Source organism: Homo sapiens, chromosome 9 (genome assembly GCF_000001405.40).
Source record: "Homo sapiens chromosome 9, GRCh38.p14 Primary Assembly".
In the NCBI taxonomy this organism is placed as follows: domain Eukaryota; kingdom Metazoa; phylum Chordata; class Mammalia; order Primates; family Hominidae; genus Homo; species Homo sapiens.
In genome coordinates, this window is record NC_000009.12 from 115,080,776 (window position 1) to 115,096,406 (window position 15,631).

The following is a 15,631-nucleotide window of genomic DNA, read 5'->3' on the forward strand; positions in this document are numbered from 1 at the left end:
GTGGTGGGAGCCTGTAATCCCAGCTACTTGGGAGACTAAGGCAGGAGAATCACTTGAACCTGGGAGGCAGAGATTGCAGTGAACTGAGATCGTTCCACTGCACTCCAGCCTGGGTGACAGAAAAAAAAAAAAAAAATGTTTCCTGGTGGAGCAACTCCAAATTCAGGTCTTTTTCTCACCAAATGATCTAGTACTGCTAAATCCTATTCTACTCCCAAGAACTTCTGACATCATTAGTATTGAATGAAATTTTATTTAGGTTCCCATTGAAGAGATGGAATCAACATTCTACATAAACCAGAGCCTAGTCAATGTTAGTGGAAATGGGGTTAAAGTTATAAAACTTACCCTGGCTTAAAGTTATGCCCCTGATGGTGTTAACTATGGGATGTTAAAGTGATTTAGCTTCTTTAAGCCTTAACATTAATATTTTCCCTTCCTCTGTCCTACAACTGGGTGCTAATATTAAACTAGTGACATGATGCTAATTAGATTGTTAGCAATGGGCTTAATTATCTTCAGGTAGTCACACCCCTTTGAAAGGAGATTTTGAAACTCCTTTCATCAAGAGATGGATCTGTTTCTCTATTCCTTAAATATAAACTGGCCGTGGGATGTGCTTTGATAGAAGTGATCTAATGCCAATTTTGAACCTGTTCAATAGCTGTGTGAACAGGACCAGCATCCTGGAGAATGAGAGGCTCTGCGAAACAGAAAGACACCATCCTGGCTGAGGCCATCCTAGGCCAATCCACCCCTTAAGCACACAGATACATGAGGAGTGCAGTCAAGAACAGATAAGCTGCTCAGCTGAGCCCAAACCCAAATCACCAACATGCAAAGAATTGTTATTTTAAACCACTGTATCTGGATTTTTAAAAATGCAGCAAAAGTTAAATGATGTAGATGCTATATGAGAAGGCACTTTCTCAACCAGGAGGTGCTATGAGGTACAATCAGCCTTATCATTCTATAAGTATTAAAGGTGATACTCACGTGTGGTGGTCACCCTCTTCAGGCCAGGGCCCCGGGTATTGTTTTTCACTATGTGCAGAGATATCTCATACTCTTGCCCAGGAGCTAGACCAGTTTGCCGGTAAGAGGTCTCTGGCCTCCTCAGGCTTTTGGTGATCTCTCCCTCATCTTCTTTATTCTGAGAGATAGAGGCAGCTTGGTAAGAGTTAGGGGAGGTGCCAGTCTCTTAATTTATGTGATTCATTCACTCTGCATTCATTCATTCCTCTGTTATTCTTTCATCGATTCATTAGGCACTTACTATGCATCAGATCAGTATGTAAGCTACTGAGGATACAGAGATGATAAAGACATTTCTCTAGTTTGTTTCTCCCATTCGTAAACTTTTACCCCTTTGTCATGCAAGTCAAATGACAGAATGTGAGAGCCAAAGGAATTCTGAAGGCACAAGCTCAATCCCTCCTTGGGTAGACTGAGGCCAGCATCAGAGGAGTAGGGTGATTGTTGGATAGTCACACAGCTGGTTGGTGGCAGAGCCTGGGCTTAAATTCAGAGAACAAGTTCCCTGCTTCACATGTACTTTTGGGCCTGGAGAGAAGGGTTGCTCAAATCTGAGATGTACCTTTATTTTGAGGGAGAGACTGTTTCTTCTCTTCTTTGCCTCTGAGTAGAGATTTCTAAGGTGATGATGGACAATTGGAACCTTGAGGTGACAACTTCTATTTGTCTAGGGTGTCAGCCGTAAGTGCTACACTTACTTATTAAAATCAGGGAAAAACCAACATCCCTTAAAATATAGATGCAAACACAAATGATGCTAATGAGAGCCTTGTCCTCCACCAAAAACTAAGGAAAATTAGTTGATACAGAAGTCTTCAGAACCCTTTGGTCATCTTTCAAATCCTTGAGATCAAATGGATCTGCTCTTTTGTACTCCTTACCATATTCCGGAAGATGATCTCCCAGGTTTCAAAAGCAATGTCTAGAGGATCCCACTCCACTTCCACAGATGTCTCCTTGATGGACTTGAATTTCAGGCCTTCAGGTGCAGGTAAGTCTGTAAGTAACAACATAAATAGAACGTAAGGATAGGGCAGGTGTGTGATTGGGCAACGCGGCCACGATTCCACTAAACCAGACTGGATGTCTGCAACAGTCAGGGGCTGACAACCAGAGCAGGTGTCCTTTTAAAGCTTCTTCTGGGATGAGGTCTCTATGAGGCTGTATAAAAATTAATATTAGGAAAAATGGTATGATTAATTTTGGCAATTTCATATGTTTAAATCTAAAATGAACGCAGGCTTTGGAATCAGACAGACTTGGGGTTAGAATCTAAGCTCTACTATCAATGTGAACTTGAGCAATTGCACACAGTGCTCTAAGCCTGAGTTTCTTCACTTGGAAAAAGAAGGTAAATATGTCTACTTCTTGGGAATGCATTGAGGAGTGAGTGATATACTCCACTCCAGTGTGTAGACTGCTGGGCCTGGTTCGTGGCATGCAGAACAAGTTGAATAAATGGCAGCCAATGTTATTATTAAGGAAAAAAGGGTCAATTTCTAGCCAGAGCTTGCTTTTTAGATATGAAGGTAATTATACTGATGCTAAACTCATAAACCAGAATGTTTCCACTTAAAGAAAAATAGTCAGTGATCTCCACTGAAAAGTAATAGAGTGGTTTAGAACATAAACCTGCCAGGACTGCCAGGGTTAAAGTTTTGCCTCTACTCCTTGTTAGCTGCATGACTTGGGATAAGATGCTTAACCATGCAGTCTCAGTTTCCTCATCTGTAAAATGGGGTTAACAATAGCTCCTATTTCATACATATACTAACTCATATAATGAGGACTCTTTTTTTTTTTTTTTTTTCTTGAGACAGAGTCTCAATCTGTCACCCAGGCTGGAGTACAGTGGCATGATCTCAGCTCACTACAAACTCTGCCTCCTGGTTTCAAGCTATTCTCTGCCTCAGCCTCCTGAGTAGCCGGGATTACAGGCATGCACCACCAGGCCCGACTAATTTTTGTATTTTTAGTAGAGACAGGGTTTCGCCATGCTGGCCAGGCTGGTCTTGAACTCGTGACCCCAGGTGATCCACCTACTTTGGCCTCCCAAAGTGCTAGGATTACGGGCATGAGCCACCATGCCCGGCCAAATGAGGACTCTTATACTAATATGTAGACTGCTTACAACAAAGTCTGATACACAGTAAACACTTGCTAAATGTTACTTGTAATGATTTTCTCTGGCAGGAAGTATATAGGAGAGCAAGGAGAAAGATTTGATGGAAAATGAGGGATTTCTTTAATAAGTGATTCTATGGACTTAATTCTAGGCTCTTATTTGGTATAACTGTAAAGAACAACTATAGGATTGTAGGGGCCGTGGCGAGGGAGGGTTATACACTGGGTGGGCTGACATCAGGTGAGGCTGCCCAAAAGAGTTCTGCTCACTCACACGTGGCCACCCTGGCGCTGACAGGAATGCTCTTCTTGTTCTCCAGGATGGCAAATACACGGATAAAGTACTCCACACCAGGCTCCAGCTCCTGGATGATGGTGGACGTCTGGTCCCCAGGCACACGGAACTGCATTTCCAGACCACCCTCGTGGGTGGGCGTGTACACGACAAGGTACTCTGTGACCCGCATCTCATTGTCCCAGGCCAGGTTGACCGTCTCTTCCGTCACTTCTGTCACAACGAGGTCTTTGGGAGGAGACACTGGCAGGAATAAGAAAGGACATCTGGTGTCAACAGTGTGTCCTCTAAAATCTCTCTAGGTTTGTTTGACCTGTCTTTTCCACTGTCAGCCACAGAGGTCTGAAGATCTTCTGTTGCCTCTAAAATGCAGATGGCATCAGGGACCCCCTGCTGTGATCCATCTTAAGACCTGTGGTGGCTGTTCCTTAGTCCATTTCCTTCAGGCTGGAGTCCCAGGTCAGCAGTGTGCCCTTGGGTGTTTCTGGCCTCTCCAACTTTCTGTGCTTCCTGGGTCTTAGCTCAGATGCAGGCTGTTGGCATGGGAAAGTGCAGTCTGAGCCTCACTCCCTGCTCTGAACTTTGAGTTACGTGTCCCTAGCACTGGGAGGGTATTTTGGGCATATCTGGTCCAACTTTCTTATATTATAGAGGTGAGTAAGACAGAACGCCTTGACCAAGCTTGCTCACCTCATCAAGTTTAGAACTTGTATCTCCTCCCTGCCAGCCTGGTGTTCTTTCCAACCAGGCTTCCCTGCTTGCGCCACATTGAACACAAAGCCATTTATTTATGTTTAGATACCAATAACTTTAGTAAAGGAAAAAATTCTCCATTATGACAATGATAATATGGGTAGATGAGAGGAGTACAAAGAAGACACTCATTAAATATGAGCATTAATTTTCTCTCCTGTGTTTTCACTTAACCAGGGTTTACTAAGCACTTAATATGTACCAGGTCCCATACTAACTGCTAGAAATAGTGCCCTTTTAAGGATAGGAGCTTGCAGTCTTTAGGATTAAAAAAACAAAACAATCAAAAAAACAAAACCAGTTACAAAAGACAATGAAAAGACAGGTCAATCTTGTAGATAATAGGCATTTCGTCTTTAGCCAAGTATGCATTTGAAACAGTTGTTTTTATGTAATCTCACTGCGTATTCAATTTAGCTGAATTTTTACATCCATCCAAATACAGAGATTTTGTTTACTGTTGGTTTGATGTCAGTGGAGAGTAGGAAATAAAGTTGATATTTAGCAAAAGAGAGAGTATCCCTTTATCTACCTCATCTTGAACACTAGATGTGTTCTGGCCTCTCCAACTTTATTTTAAACTCTATGTAGATGAGTTAGGCAGACTTGAATACCAGCTCTGTGATGTGTCAGCTGTGTGTCCCTGGGACAATTATATAACCTCTCTGAGCCCTTCAGCCCTTAAATAGGTCACCTTGTAACAACGGAATGACAGGGCCCCCTTAAAAAGTCATTATGGGTGTGTGTTTAAATGGATATATTAATACGTACAAAGAATCAGTGTGCATGAATGTTTATATATATAAACGTAGTTTTCCAACCCATACTAGGAGTCCACTCCATCATGGCCATTATATGCTGGTCTGCGCCCTGGCACTCACCCTCTGAGCAGTCTTCTCCGCTGTAGCCCTCGTTGCAGATGCAGCGGCCCGAGACGCATTGTCCTAAGTTGTTGCAGTCACTGGGGCAGGAGTGCTGGCCACAGTCCAGGCCTGTGAAGCCCTCGTGGCAGATGCACTGGCCGTCCACGCAGCGGCCCTGGCCATGACAGTCACTGGGACATCTTTGCTCCTTGCAGTCTTTGCCCATAAATCCTTCATGGCACACGCACTGCCCATTCACACAGCGACCCTGGCCATGGCAGTCATTTGGACAGGAGAGTTCTGCACAGTCAGGGCCGGTGAAGCCGTCCTCACAGACGCACTGTCCGTCCACACAGAGGCCCCTGTTGCTGCAGTCCCTGGGGCATTGGCGATCCCGGCAGTCTTCCCCTGTGTAGCCGTCATCACAAACACACATGCCATTCACACAGCGGCCGTGCTGGTGACAGTCATTAGGGCAGCTCATGTCACTGCAGTCATAGCCCTTGAAGCCTTGCTCACATACACATTTGCCCTCGACACAGCGGCCCCGACTGTGACAGTCATTGGGGCACCGTAGCTGGCTGCAGTCCTCCCCAGTATAGCCCTCATCACACACACACTGCCCATTGACACAGCGGCCATGGCCACTGCAGCCATTGGGACACTTGAGCTCCCCACAGTCAGCTCCAGTGAAACCATCATCACACTCACACCGCCCGTCTACACAGCGGCCACGATTGTGACAGTCAGCAGGACACCTCTTCTCGCTGCAGTCCACACCGGCAAAGCCCTCATCACATACACACTGCCCCTCCTCACACCGGCCCTGGGTGTGGCAGGCATGTGGGCAGGTGGGTTTCCCGCAGTCTTCACCTGTGAAGCCTTCTTCGCAGTAGCAGGTGCCATTGATGCAGCGGCCCCGGTCGAAGCAGTCATTGGGGCAGATGAGCTCACTGCAGTCTTCGCCCGTGAAACCCTCATCACACACGCACTCATTCTCCACGCATCGTCCACGGTTGTAGCAATTGTTGAGACACAGAGGCTTGTTGCAGTCATCGCCTGCAAAGCCATCGTGGCACACACACAAGCCATCTACACATGTGCCGTGCTCCTCACTGCAGGGCACTGGGCAGATTTCACGGCTGCAGTCAGCCCCGGCGTAGCCTTCGAAACAGATGCAGACTCCATTTACGCACTTGCCCTGGTCATTGCAGTCGCTGGGGCAAGCCAGCTGGCTGCAGTCCTCGCCCGTGAAGCCGTCGTCACAGATGCACTGCCCATCAATGCACCGGCCTCGAAGGTGACAGTTGCCTGGACATTCGGGCTCAGAGCAGTTGGGGCCTTTCCAGCCAGGTTCGCAGACACAGCCACATCCTTCAGTGCTGAAGTTGCCCCGACCGCTACAGAAGGGCCTGGTGTCCAAGCGGCCTGCAACAAAAGAAACAGAAGTTCTCAGCCAGGCTTAAGCAGCCACATTTTTCTGTATCTACCCAGGGCACCCAGATTCAAATTCAGCTGAAGGACGGTTGCACCCTCAGGCTCCATCTGGCTTGAGAACCATTTGTTGTAGTGTGTGAAATCAGATGAGACTCACATCCTGTTATACCAGGTAGGAATTCATAACCTGAATTCCCTGAAATTATAGGCTTGTATGCCAAAACAGTGTGTGATTATGCATAGGGGTGTGTGTGTGTGTGTGTGTGTGTGTGTGTGTGTGTGTATTTCCACCCCTGGGGAGCGGATTCATAGTTTTTGTCACATTTTCAAGAAGTCTTACTATTCCTATGATGATTATGAGTCACTGCCTTGTGAAATGCATTAGGCTGGGGCTATGTTACTATTTCTTTCTTTTCTTTTTTTTTTTTTTTTTTTTTGAGACAGAGTCTTGCTCTGTCGCCCAGGCTGGAGTGCAGCGGCGCCATCTTGGCTCACTGCAAGCTCCGCCTCCTGGGTTCATGCCATTCTCCTGCCTCAGCCTCCTGAGTAGCTGGGACTCCAGGCGCCCGCCACCATGCCCGGCTAATTTTTTTTGCATTTTTTGTAGAGATGGGGTTTCACCATGTTAGCCAGGATGGTCTCAATATCCTGACCTCGTGATCTGCCTGCCTTGGCCTCCCAAAGTGCTGGGATTACAGGTGTGAGCCACCACGACTGGCCACTATGTTATTATTTCTTTAGTGCCTCATCAAGGCCAGGCACATAAAAGATGCCCAAGAAATAGTTGTTGAACTGAATGTAATTCTGACTTTTTGATTCAATATCTATGCCACATTTGGCAAGGGATTTAGACTATCTGGAGCTTAGTTTTCTTATACGTGAAGTTGGGCCAATAGCCCACTTCCCTGGGGTATATCCGAGTTAAGTAAACCCCTTAAGAGCTCACTCTTGTGTCCTTGTTATTTTTTTCTGTTTTATTTTCCAAAGTTTTTTGTGGAAGGTTGGCTCAAGTTGGTATGTGGGTTTATATAACCAAAACATTCTAATTTTCCGCAACTAAAATGAGGTAGCTAATGGCTTTCTAATTCTATAAGGACACCTTTCAGTTTGGCTCTGTCCCCAGAAAAGTATAGTGCCTTTATCTTTTATTTCTTTCTATCCTGAAGGCTAAGTGGAGGTCAACTTAAAGAATGTGGGGTCAAGGTTGACATTACTCGAGCCCCTTGAGGCCTAAATATTGCCTTAGCTCAGTTTGCAGAAGTCATTGGTCTGATCTCCATGGAGCTTAAGGAGAAGAAACAAAACCCAGTTCTATATTCTCTGCACTAGAGTATATTCACTCTGTAGTCTCTGTACGTAGAAACAGCTTGTATTAATATATTTTATCTCATTCTTGACAGCAGGAAGAAAGAATTTTTTAAAAAAAGCTGATTTGTAAAGTGAGAGTCTAAGTATGTACTATCTAGTATGGTGGCCCTTGGCCACATGTGGTTATTAGGCATTGAAACGTGGCTAGTCTAAATTGAGATGTTCTGTAAGTGTAAAATACACATCAGATTCCAAATAGTATAAAATAATAGACTGAGAAGTATCCATTAATAATTTTGATATTGATTTCAGGCTGAAAAACCAATATTTTGGCTCTGTTGAATTAAATAAGAGATGACTAAAATTATGTTTACTTGTTTCTTTCTCCTTTCTTTAACATGACTACTAGAAAATTTAAGATTACATGTGTGAGTCATATTTTCATTAGACAGCACTGCTCTAAACAATCATTTTAACTGACTACTTAGCATTACTCCTACTGTGTATTCTCATCTGCATTTTTCCAGGGAGTTGACAGAAGTGGAAGATAAACTAACTTATGCCTAAAGAAAATGTTTTTAAAAATTGCCTTAGAAACCTAGAGCCTGTCCTGCAGAGCCGTAAGACTATTTCACTTAGGGTGGTTAGGTTTACTCTTGAAATAATTGTTGAAGAACATTTTGGTAATTTTTTTCTGAGTGGCAGAAACAGATTTTCAGCTCTGATTTGAAGTTGTTGAAACTCATGTAGCTTTATCAACTTTAGTTATTGGAGATAAAGACATAATTCCAAAGCAGCAAAATTCCTTGAAATAGGATGCATGTGGAAACAGGGCATCCATGGGAGAGTATGAGCTCTGGAGACACACAGGCACATGCAAAATCCCTATCTCTCTCTCTCTCTCTCTCTCTCTATCTCTTTTTTTTTCGGATGGTGTTTTGCTCTTGTCACTCAGGCTGGAGTGCAATGGCATGATCTCAGCTCACTGCAACCTCTGCCCCTCGGTTTCAAGTGATTCTCCTGCCTCAGCCTCCTGAGTAGCTGGGATTACAGGCATGCACCACCACACCCTGCTAATTTTGTATTTTTAGTAGAGATGGGGTTTCACCATGTTGGCCAGGCTGGTCTTGAACTCCTAACTTCAGGTGATCCGCCCGCCTTAGCCTCCCAAAGTGCTGGGATTACAGGCGTGAACCACTGCGCCTAGCCAAAGACCCTATCTCTTATTGCTCTTTGTGCCATCTTGTGCCAGTGGGTTAATCCCCTTGAGATTCATTTCTTTGATCTGTAGAAGAGGACTTATCTTCCCCTCATCTAATCTTTACCTTAAAGGGCTGTTGGGAGGATTAAATGAGATAATACAACAGTGCCTGTTACACAGAGGGAGCTTATATGATTGTAATCATTGTAATTGCTATTAAATTGGAACTTTTTTCTAATTCTTATAACTCAGCACTATCACAGGCAGCACTGTGCATTTGTAAGAATACTGAAATGTGAGGAACTCTACTCCTTATTGGAGGACCTTCAGGAATCCCATCCTCTTTCCAGGCCTCAGTTTCTCTATTTGTAAAATGAGGTGATGGGGCCACAGCAGTACCTATCAGAGAGTGCTCTCTGGGGTAGAAATTTCATGGCGTACTCATAGGTTTTGGGGTAGAAAGTGGGTAGATTTCATGGTCAAATACGTTTTAGAAACTTATAATTAAGGTAAAATAGGGTTTTTCAAAGCAGGACTTATCAGAAGCCTGAAAATTCCTCTGAGAAGCAGTTGTCGCCGTGACTCCTCCAAGCAGGAGAGAGATGGCTGCAGTCTCCACACTTATTTGAACATAAAATCTCTTTGTAATGAACACTCTGGGAAGCTAGTTTTCTAGTGAGCCCACTTTGGAAGCAAGTGATGGATGCTGCTATGCTCTTCATTTCTCCATGTTTGCACAGTGTGGGACTGGGCGGGCCACCAGCTCATACCTGTGGCAGGCTGGAGACAGCAGCCTGCTCCTGCAGTACATTGCTCCCTCAGGGAAGACACCAGGTTCTCCAGCTCCTCCAGTCTGCTCAGCAGCTCCTTAACATCAGGGGCTGCGGCACAGCCACAGGCCCGGCGGGGGATGTTGATGCGATGTGTGAAGACAATCTGGTTTTCCCCATCCACTGTGTGCTCCTGAAAGCTTTCGCTGGGCTCTGAAGGCGGTGCCAGGTCTTTCTCCCCACTGGCTGACTCCAGATCCACCGAACACTGGGATCCCACTGGCAGCTTGATGTTGTAAACGTGGTTAAACACCACTGGCTGGTTCTCTTCTGGCAGGGTGGCGTTCACCCCACTCTGTCGCTTGTGCCGGATGACTTTCTTGAGGACCCCACCTTCGGTAGCGAGGGCAAGGAAAGCAAGAAAGACACCTGCCAACAGCTGAGTCATGGCCCCCATGGTGGAGGTGGGTTTGGCTGGGTGCTGCTGGGGCTCTAGGGCTCTAGGGTATCTCACTTTCAGCAGAATTGGGGATTTAGAAGCACAGAGTAGACTTCAAATCAGTTGTCCCTGATCTTCTTGAAAGAATTATTTTCTACAAGCAAAGATGAACAAAAAAATTATGAGTATCTACTATTGAATATATTGAATATCTACAATTCCAAGTGAATTTTGATTTTATATCCCTGTATTTGAAGCTCTCCTGATAATTTTTCATTATATACCCTTGAAATAACATACAATGGTCTCTAAAAGAACTTTGTCACTTGAAGGAATGATTTCACTCACTATTCAACTTCTGTAAATTTAAGGAGACAGAAAAATAGAGAGAAAAAGGTAAAATATTGAAATAAAATAGACATAGGTTTGTATCTTGGCTGTAGCTCTGGTCCCTTGGATACGTTATGTAATTTTTCTTTGCCTTATTTCACTTTCTGTATAGTGAAGATCATAGTTGCTAATGACAGGGTTAAAAGAATGATGTAGAAGTTATTTGTGTATTCATTAATTCCTTCAGTATTTACTATGTCTTCTGAGTGAATTATTATAGTGTTATAAAGGCCCTGGTCCCGGTAGATGTTCAGTAACTCTTGCCTCTTATTGATTTTCAAAACTGATTTCCACACCATCTGCTGGTTCTCTTCTGTCATGAGAGGCAGAGGTTAAAATAAAGGACTCTAGGAGGCAAACAGTTTTAATCCCAGCCGAGCTTCTTACTAGTTATATGACTGTCAGTATAGCATTCAGTCTACTCCTCTGCACCTCAGTTTCCCTGCTCCTTGATTTATTTCCAAAACCTTCAAAAGTCCAGTTTTTAGAAGAGCCTGACAGAATATTCTTGAACCAGTTGTCTAAACTGAGGCTCACAGCTCAGAAAGGATGTCTAAGAGCCTCTGATGTCTTCTCCAATCAGCAAGTACTTATAGCATTTTTACAGAGGTCTGAGGGTGGTAGAAATAAATATAAGACCAAGTGTATACATACCATCAGGGGACTTAACAATAGAATTAAGAAGAAAATGGAATCATCCATCCAGTACTTAAGGAGCAAAGCAAGAAAGAATGTATAGGATTTGTTTTGTGGTATAGTGTATAACTGCCTATGGGGTTTGAAAATAAAAAGGAATGGTCAAGAGAAAGGTGGGGCATAGCTTATGGGAAAGGGAGGGTAAAATTTAAGCTGAGCCTTAAATAGTGAGAAGAATTAGATGGGAACAGAATATGGAGGAGAATATGCTACCATGAAGCAATTCTCACTTTGCCAAGTTATCTTATTCATCTCTCTTAGAGCTATTCACCTGTATGAGCAATCAGGTAGCAGAGAAAAGGGGACTTGTTAGAGGCAGTTGAGAAACTAAATAAAGACAGGAAGAAATGGCAGTTATAATATTTACTAAAACAATGCTATGGAGGCATGTGAGAATGATCTATACACGATATGAAGTCATTCATGGTTTTCTTTAATTAGGAGATGCACCCGAGTAAAATTCAAATGATAATTGAAGAGCTATTTTATTTATTTATTTATTTTTGAGACAGAGTCTCACTCTGTTGTCCAGGCTGGAGTGCAATGGCATGATCTTGACTCTCTGCAACTTCCGCCTCCCAGGTTCAAGTGATCCTCCTGCCTCAGCCTCCCAAGTAGCTGGGATTTCAGGTGCACACTGCCATGCCTGGCTGATTTTTTGTATTTTTTTTTTTTTTTTAGTAGAGTTGGAGTTTCACCATGTTCCCCAGGCTGGTCCCGAACTCCTGAGCTCAGGCAATCCACTTGCCTCAACTTCCCAAAGTGCTAGGATTACAGGCATGAGCCACCGTGCCTGGCTGCTATTTGGTTTTTAGCATGTCATTTACAAATTGACATTTCCCTATGCCCATGATATTCTTATACTCGCACACTGTAAGTTAGTTATTTATGTCAATTAGTGGTGGTGCTTGGATTATTCAGCCTATAAGAAGGTTTCTAACTTTTTTTCTGGAAAGATTTTATCCTAATGATAGAATGCATCAACATGATCCCAACTGACCATCTCCTTCCTCATGACAGAAAGCCTTTGCAAAACTTAGAGAGGAATTGTGGCAAGGAAAATTGAACTGGGAAGCATTCTATATGACTGATCAGGGGCCTAAGGACTGAGAAAGCACTAGTGAATTTAACTAAGAAGGTCGTATCCACATACCTACCACATTCTAATTATATTCTTATTGACACTTTACCAACTGTCCCTGTAATATCTGCAAAAACAAAACAAAACAAAAACAACAACAACAACAAAAACAAAGAAACAAAAAATACCCAACCCTCTTTTGAGCATGCTTTCTCATTGAAATTAGCTTCTTAACTAACAATGTGTGGGTCTGTAATGTAGGTAAGGCCACTGAATGAAGATTATTATAAAAAAGGAGACTTGGCATGTTCTCTCCTTTCAAACCAATTTGGCCATCTTATGTGTTTACTGGACAAATATTTATTGGCTGCATAGTCTACTAGAATGGCTGCTCTAACTCTCTTCACCTTCACAAAGTTCTACTTTCCTACCCCTTTTCCATCAATTCTTAGCTTTTTTTTTTTTTTTTTAGAAAGGGCCATGGGCCAAGTTTGAAATGTTTTTGGACTTCTCCCCAACACTTTTCTGTGTGTTGCTAAATGACTTAAATTTCCATCTAAAAAGCCATTATAGTTGCTGATTGAGACTCCAAGGCAAAGAGTTTAGGGTAATAATGACCAGAGTGTGAGTAGAGTGAGGATTTCTCACTGTGTGTTTAAGAGACGTAAACTGGTACCACCAAATGTTGCATCGTTGGGGGAAAGAGTATGTTATTCTTGAGCATTGTGTATTTCCTATTGGCTCATGGTGGTCTGAGGGCAGTGGGTGTTTTTGTACTTTGGGAAAAATCCATTATATTTTCAGTGTTGTAGAAAATGGTTAGGCTTTGGAATTAGGCATACCTGGGTTCAAATGTCACTCACTAGCCCTGCAACTTTGACAAGCTACTTATCCTCTCTAAACCATGACCTCATATATAACAAAGGAGTCAAAACCTTTCCAGAGAAAATTAAGGATTAGAGACCTGTACATAAAGTACCCAGCATGGTGTCAAGCTCGTAGTAGGCACTCATTAAACAGTAGTTCCTATTTTGTTGCGCTCCTGGGGAACAAAACCTAACAAGAGTCCATGTCAATAGCCTCCTTTTACTTAAGCCTGAGCTTGACCGCCTAGTTGAATACAGTCCTAAACTCAGCAGCAACTTGGATCTAGATCAAAGAGGAGCTGCAGAAATCACTGGTGGGTGAGGAGGTAAATTTACTAGAACTAGAAATATTTATATGAGAGAGGGAAAAAATAGGAAGCAAATAATGACCTTTAAGAATGTAAAATATTCTCATGCAGACAACTGGCTGTTTTAAGTCTCCTTTGTGGATGAACCCAGGGAAACTTACTTGAGATTGCAGTTGGAGGTATTTAGGTCAGACATGAAGAATCATGTTCTGATAGTAGGACTTTTATAATTTCAGAATGAGCAACTTATTCTACAGAGACTCTTTAGAAAACACAGATTCTAATCTTTATAGAAAATTGATCAGCAATAAAAGGTCTGGAAAATATCTTGTAGGAGGAAGGACTACAGACCTGGGCAGGTTTATTTTGTAGTTGAGAAAACCAAGGTTGAGTGGGTCAGGGTTACCATGTAGAAATCCTGGCAAAGCAGGCACTGGCTTGCCTCTTGTAGCCCCTAAGGACAGAACAAGTGCCTCTGTGTGTGTGTGTGTGTGTGTGTGTGTGTGTGTGTGTGTGTGTGTGTGTGTGTGCGTTTATGTGCTGGGGATGATGCAGGGAGGGAGGGTTGGTTATGAGAAGACAAATTTCAGCACAACAGGAGAAAGACTTTTCTAGTTGGAATTGGTACCCAATAGAAAGGTCTTCTTTGAGAATGTAGCAGGTTCCAAAGCACCAGAATGTAAATAGAATGGCATTGAAGGGCACAAGTTTTATAGGCAAATTGTCTTAGGTTTGAATCACTGTTTGATCACTTCCTGTTCCTTGTGCAAGGTTATTATCTGTGACCATAAGCCAGAGTACTGTCATCAATAAATGTGTTAAGGGAGTCCTCATAGGATCATTGTGAAAAGTGCATGAGATAATGTATGCGAAAGAAATGGCAAACAGTCTTTGGTAGCAGTAAGAGCTTAATAAAAGGAAACATTTGTAATGAAAAATATGGACTTTAATGAATGTTTTTCTTTTCTAGGATTTTCTTTCTCCTAACCTTTGAAACCCCTACTTTGGCATATGTCTGTTTTTAAGCAAAGACAAGAGTTCTACAGCAAAGTGAGAACTTTTCCTCTCTCAGTGATCCCAGAAAATATGCATGTCGTGGTATGTGTATATATATATGTATATATATATGTATATATATGTATATATATATGTATATATATGTATATATATATGTATATATATGTATATATATATGTATATATATGTATATATATGTATATATATGTATATATATGTATATATATGTATATATATGTATATATATATGTATATATGTATATATATATGTATATATATGTATATATATATGTATATATATGTATATATATATGTATATATATGTATATATATATGTATATATATGTATATATATATCTCCATATATAATATAATAGTTGCTCCAATTATATTACATATAATATTATAATATGTGATGTAACATAATATTACATATTATAATACAATGAAAGATAATATATTATTACATATCATATTATATATGTAAGTGTGTGTATATCTTTGATGGTGATATTTAAGGATCTGGTAAGTCAATGATTGCAAAGAAGGGAATCAGGAAGAGACATAGTCTTTGCATTGGCACAAAACGCAGATTTTTGGGGTCCCATATCCAGGACAAATCTATTTCCAAGCTAAGCATGTTGTGCTGCTTTTTGCTCCGCCTCAGCTTATGTATCTAACGCAAAACAAGACACACTTGTGTCAGACTTTGCTTTCTTTATTAAAATTAATTTTTAGAGTCAAACAAATACCTGTGACTTATGAAATTGTTTTTGTGAGATTTTCTGTGTATCTCCATCCCTGTCAATGTCTCAAAAGCTAGTTAATCTGGTGAACATAAAATCCACAATAAAAACTTCCCCGTGAGATAGAAAATTTAAAAAGAGATAAAACACTTCGAATTCATTGGTCTTGAATTCGAAGTGCTCTGTCCCATATTCCGCATGTGATTATTAAAATTAATGAAAATTAAATACAATTAAAAATCTCATTGCTCAGTTGTATCACTCACATTTCAAGTACTTAAGAGCCCATGGGGCTTGTGGTT

General features: G+C 42.0%; 1 protein-coding gene and 1 long non-coding RNA gene across 43 annotated transcripts in view; one reads left to right on the forward strand and one right to left on the reverse strand.

Annotated features, from left to right (window-relative positions):
* TNC (tenascin C) overlaps positions 1 to 15,631 on the reverse strand; it is a 98,583-nt gene that overhangs the window by 61,201 nt on the left and 21,751 nt on the right. For all 42 annotated transcript variants that reach the window (NM_001439099.1, NM_001439096.1, NM_001439098.1 and 39 more), the window contains 5 exons: positions 9,787 to 10,379; positions 5,089 to 6,498; positions 3,434 to 3,697; positions 1,917 to 2,032; positions 997 to 1,153 (listed from right to left, as the gene is read on the reverse strand). In NM_001439099.1, the coding sequence (NP_001426028.1) occupies positions 997 to 1,153; positions 1,917 to 2,032; positions 3,434 to 3,697; positions 5,089 to 6,498; positions 9,787 to 10,243 (2,404 nt within the window). In that variant the 5' untranslated portion in view covers positions 10,244 to 10,379. The remainder of the gene's footprint in view (positions 1 to 996; positions 1,154 to 1,916; positions 2,033 to 3,433; positions 3,698 to 5,088; positions 6,499 to 9,786; positions 10,380 to 15,631) is intronic.
* LOC124902255 (uncharacterized) overlaps positions 6,616 to 15,631 on the forward strand; it is a 35,154-nt gene continuing 26,138 nt past the window's right edge. Inside the window, exon 1 of the long non-coding RNA XR_007061746.1 lies at positions 6,616 to 6,679. This is a non-coding gene — a long non-coding RNA (uncharacterized LOC124902255). The remainder of the gene's footprint in view (positions 6,680 to 15,631) is intronic.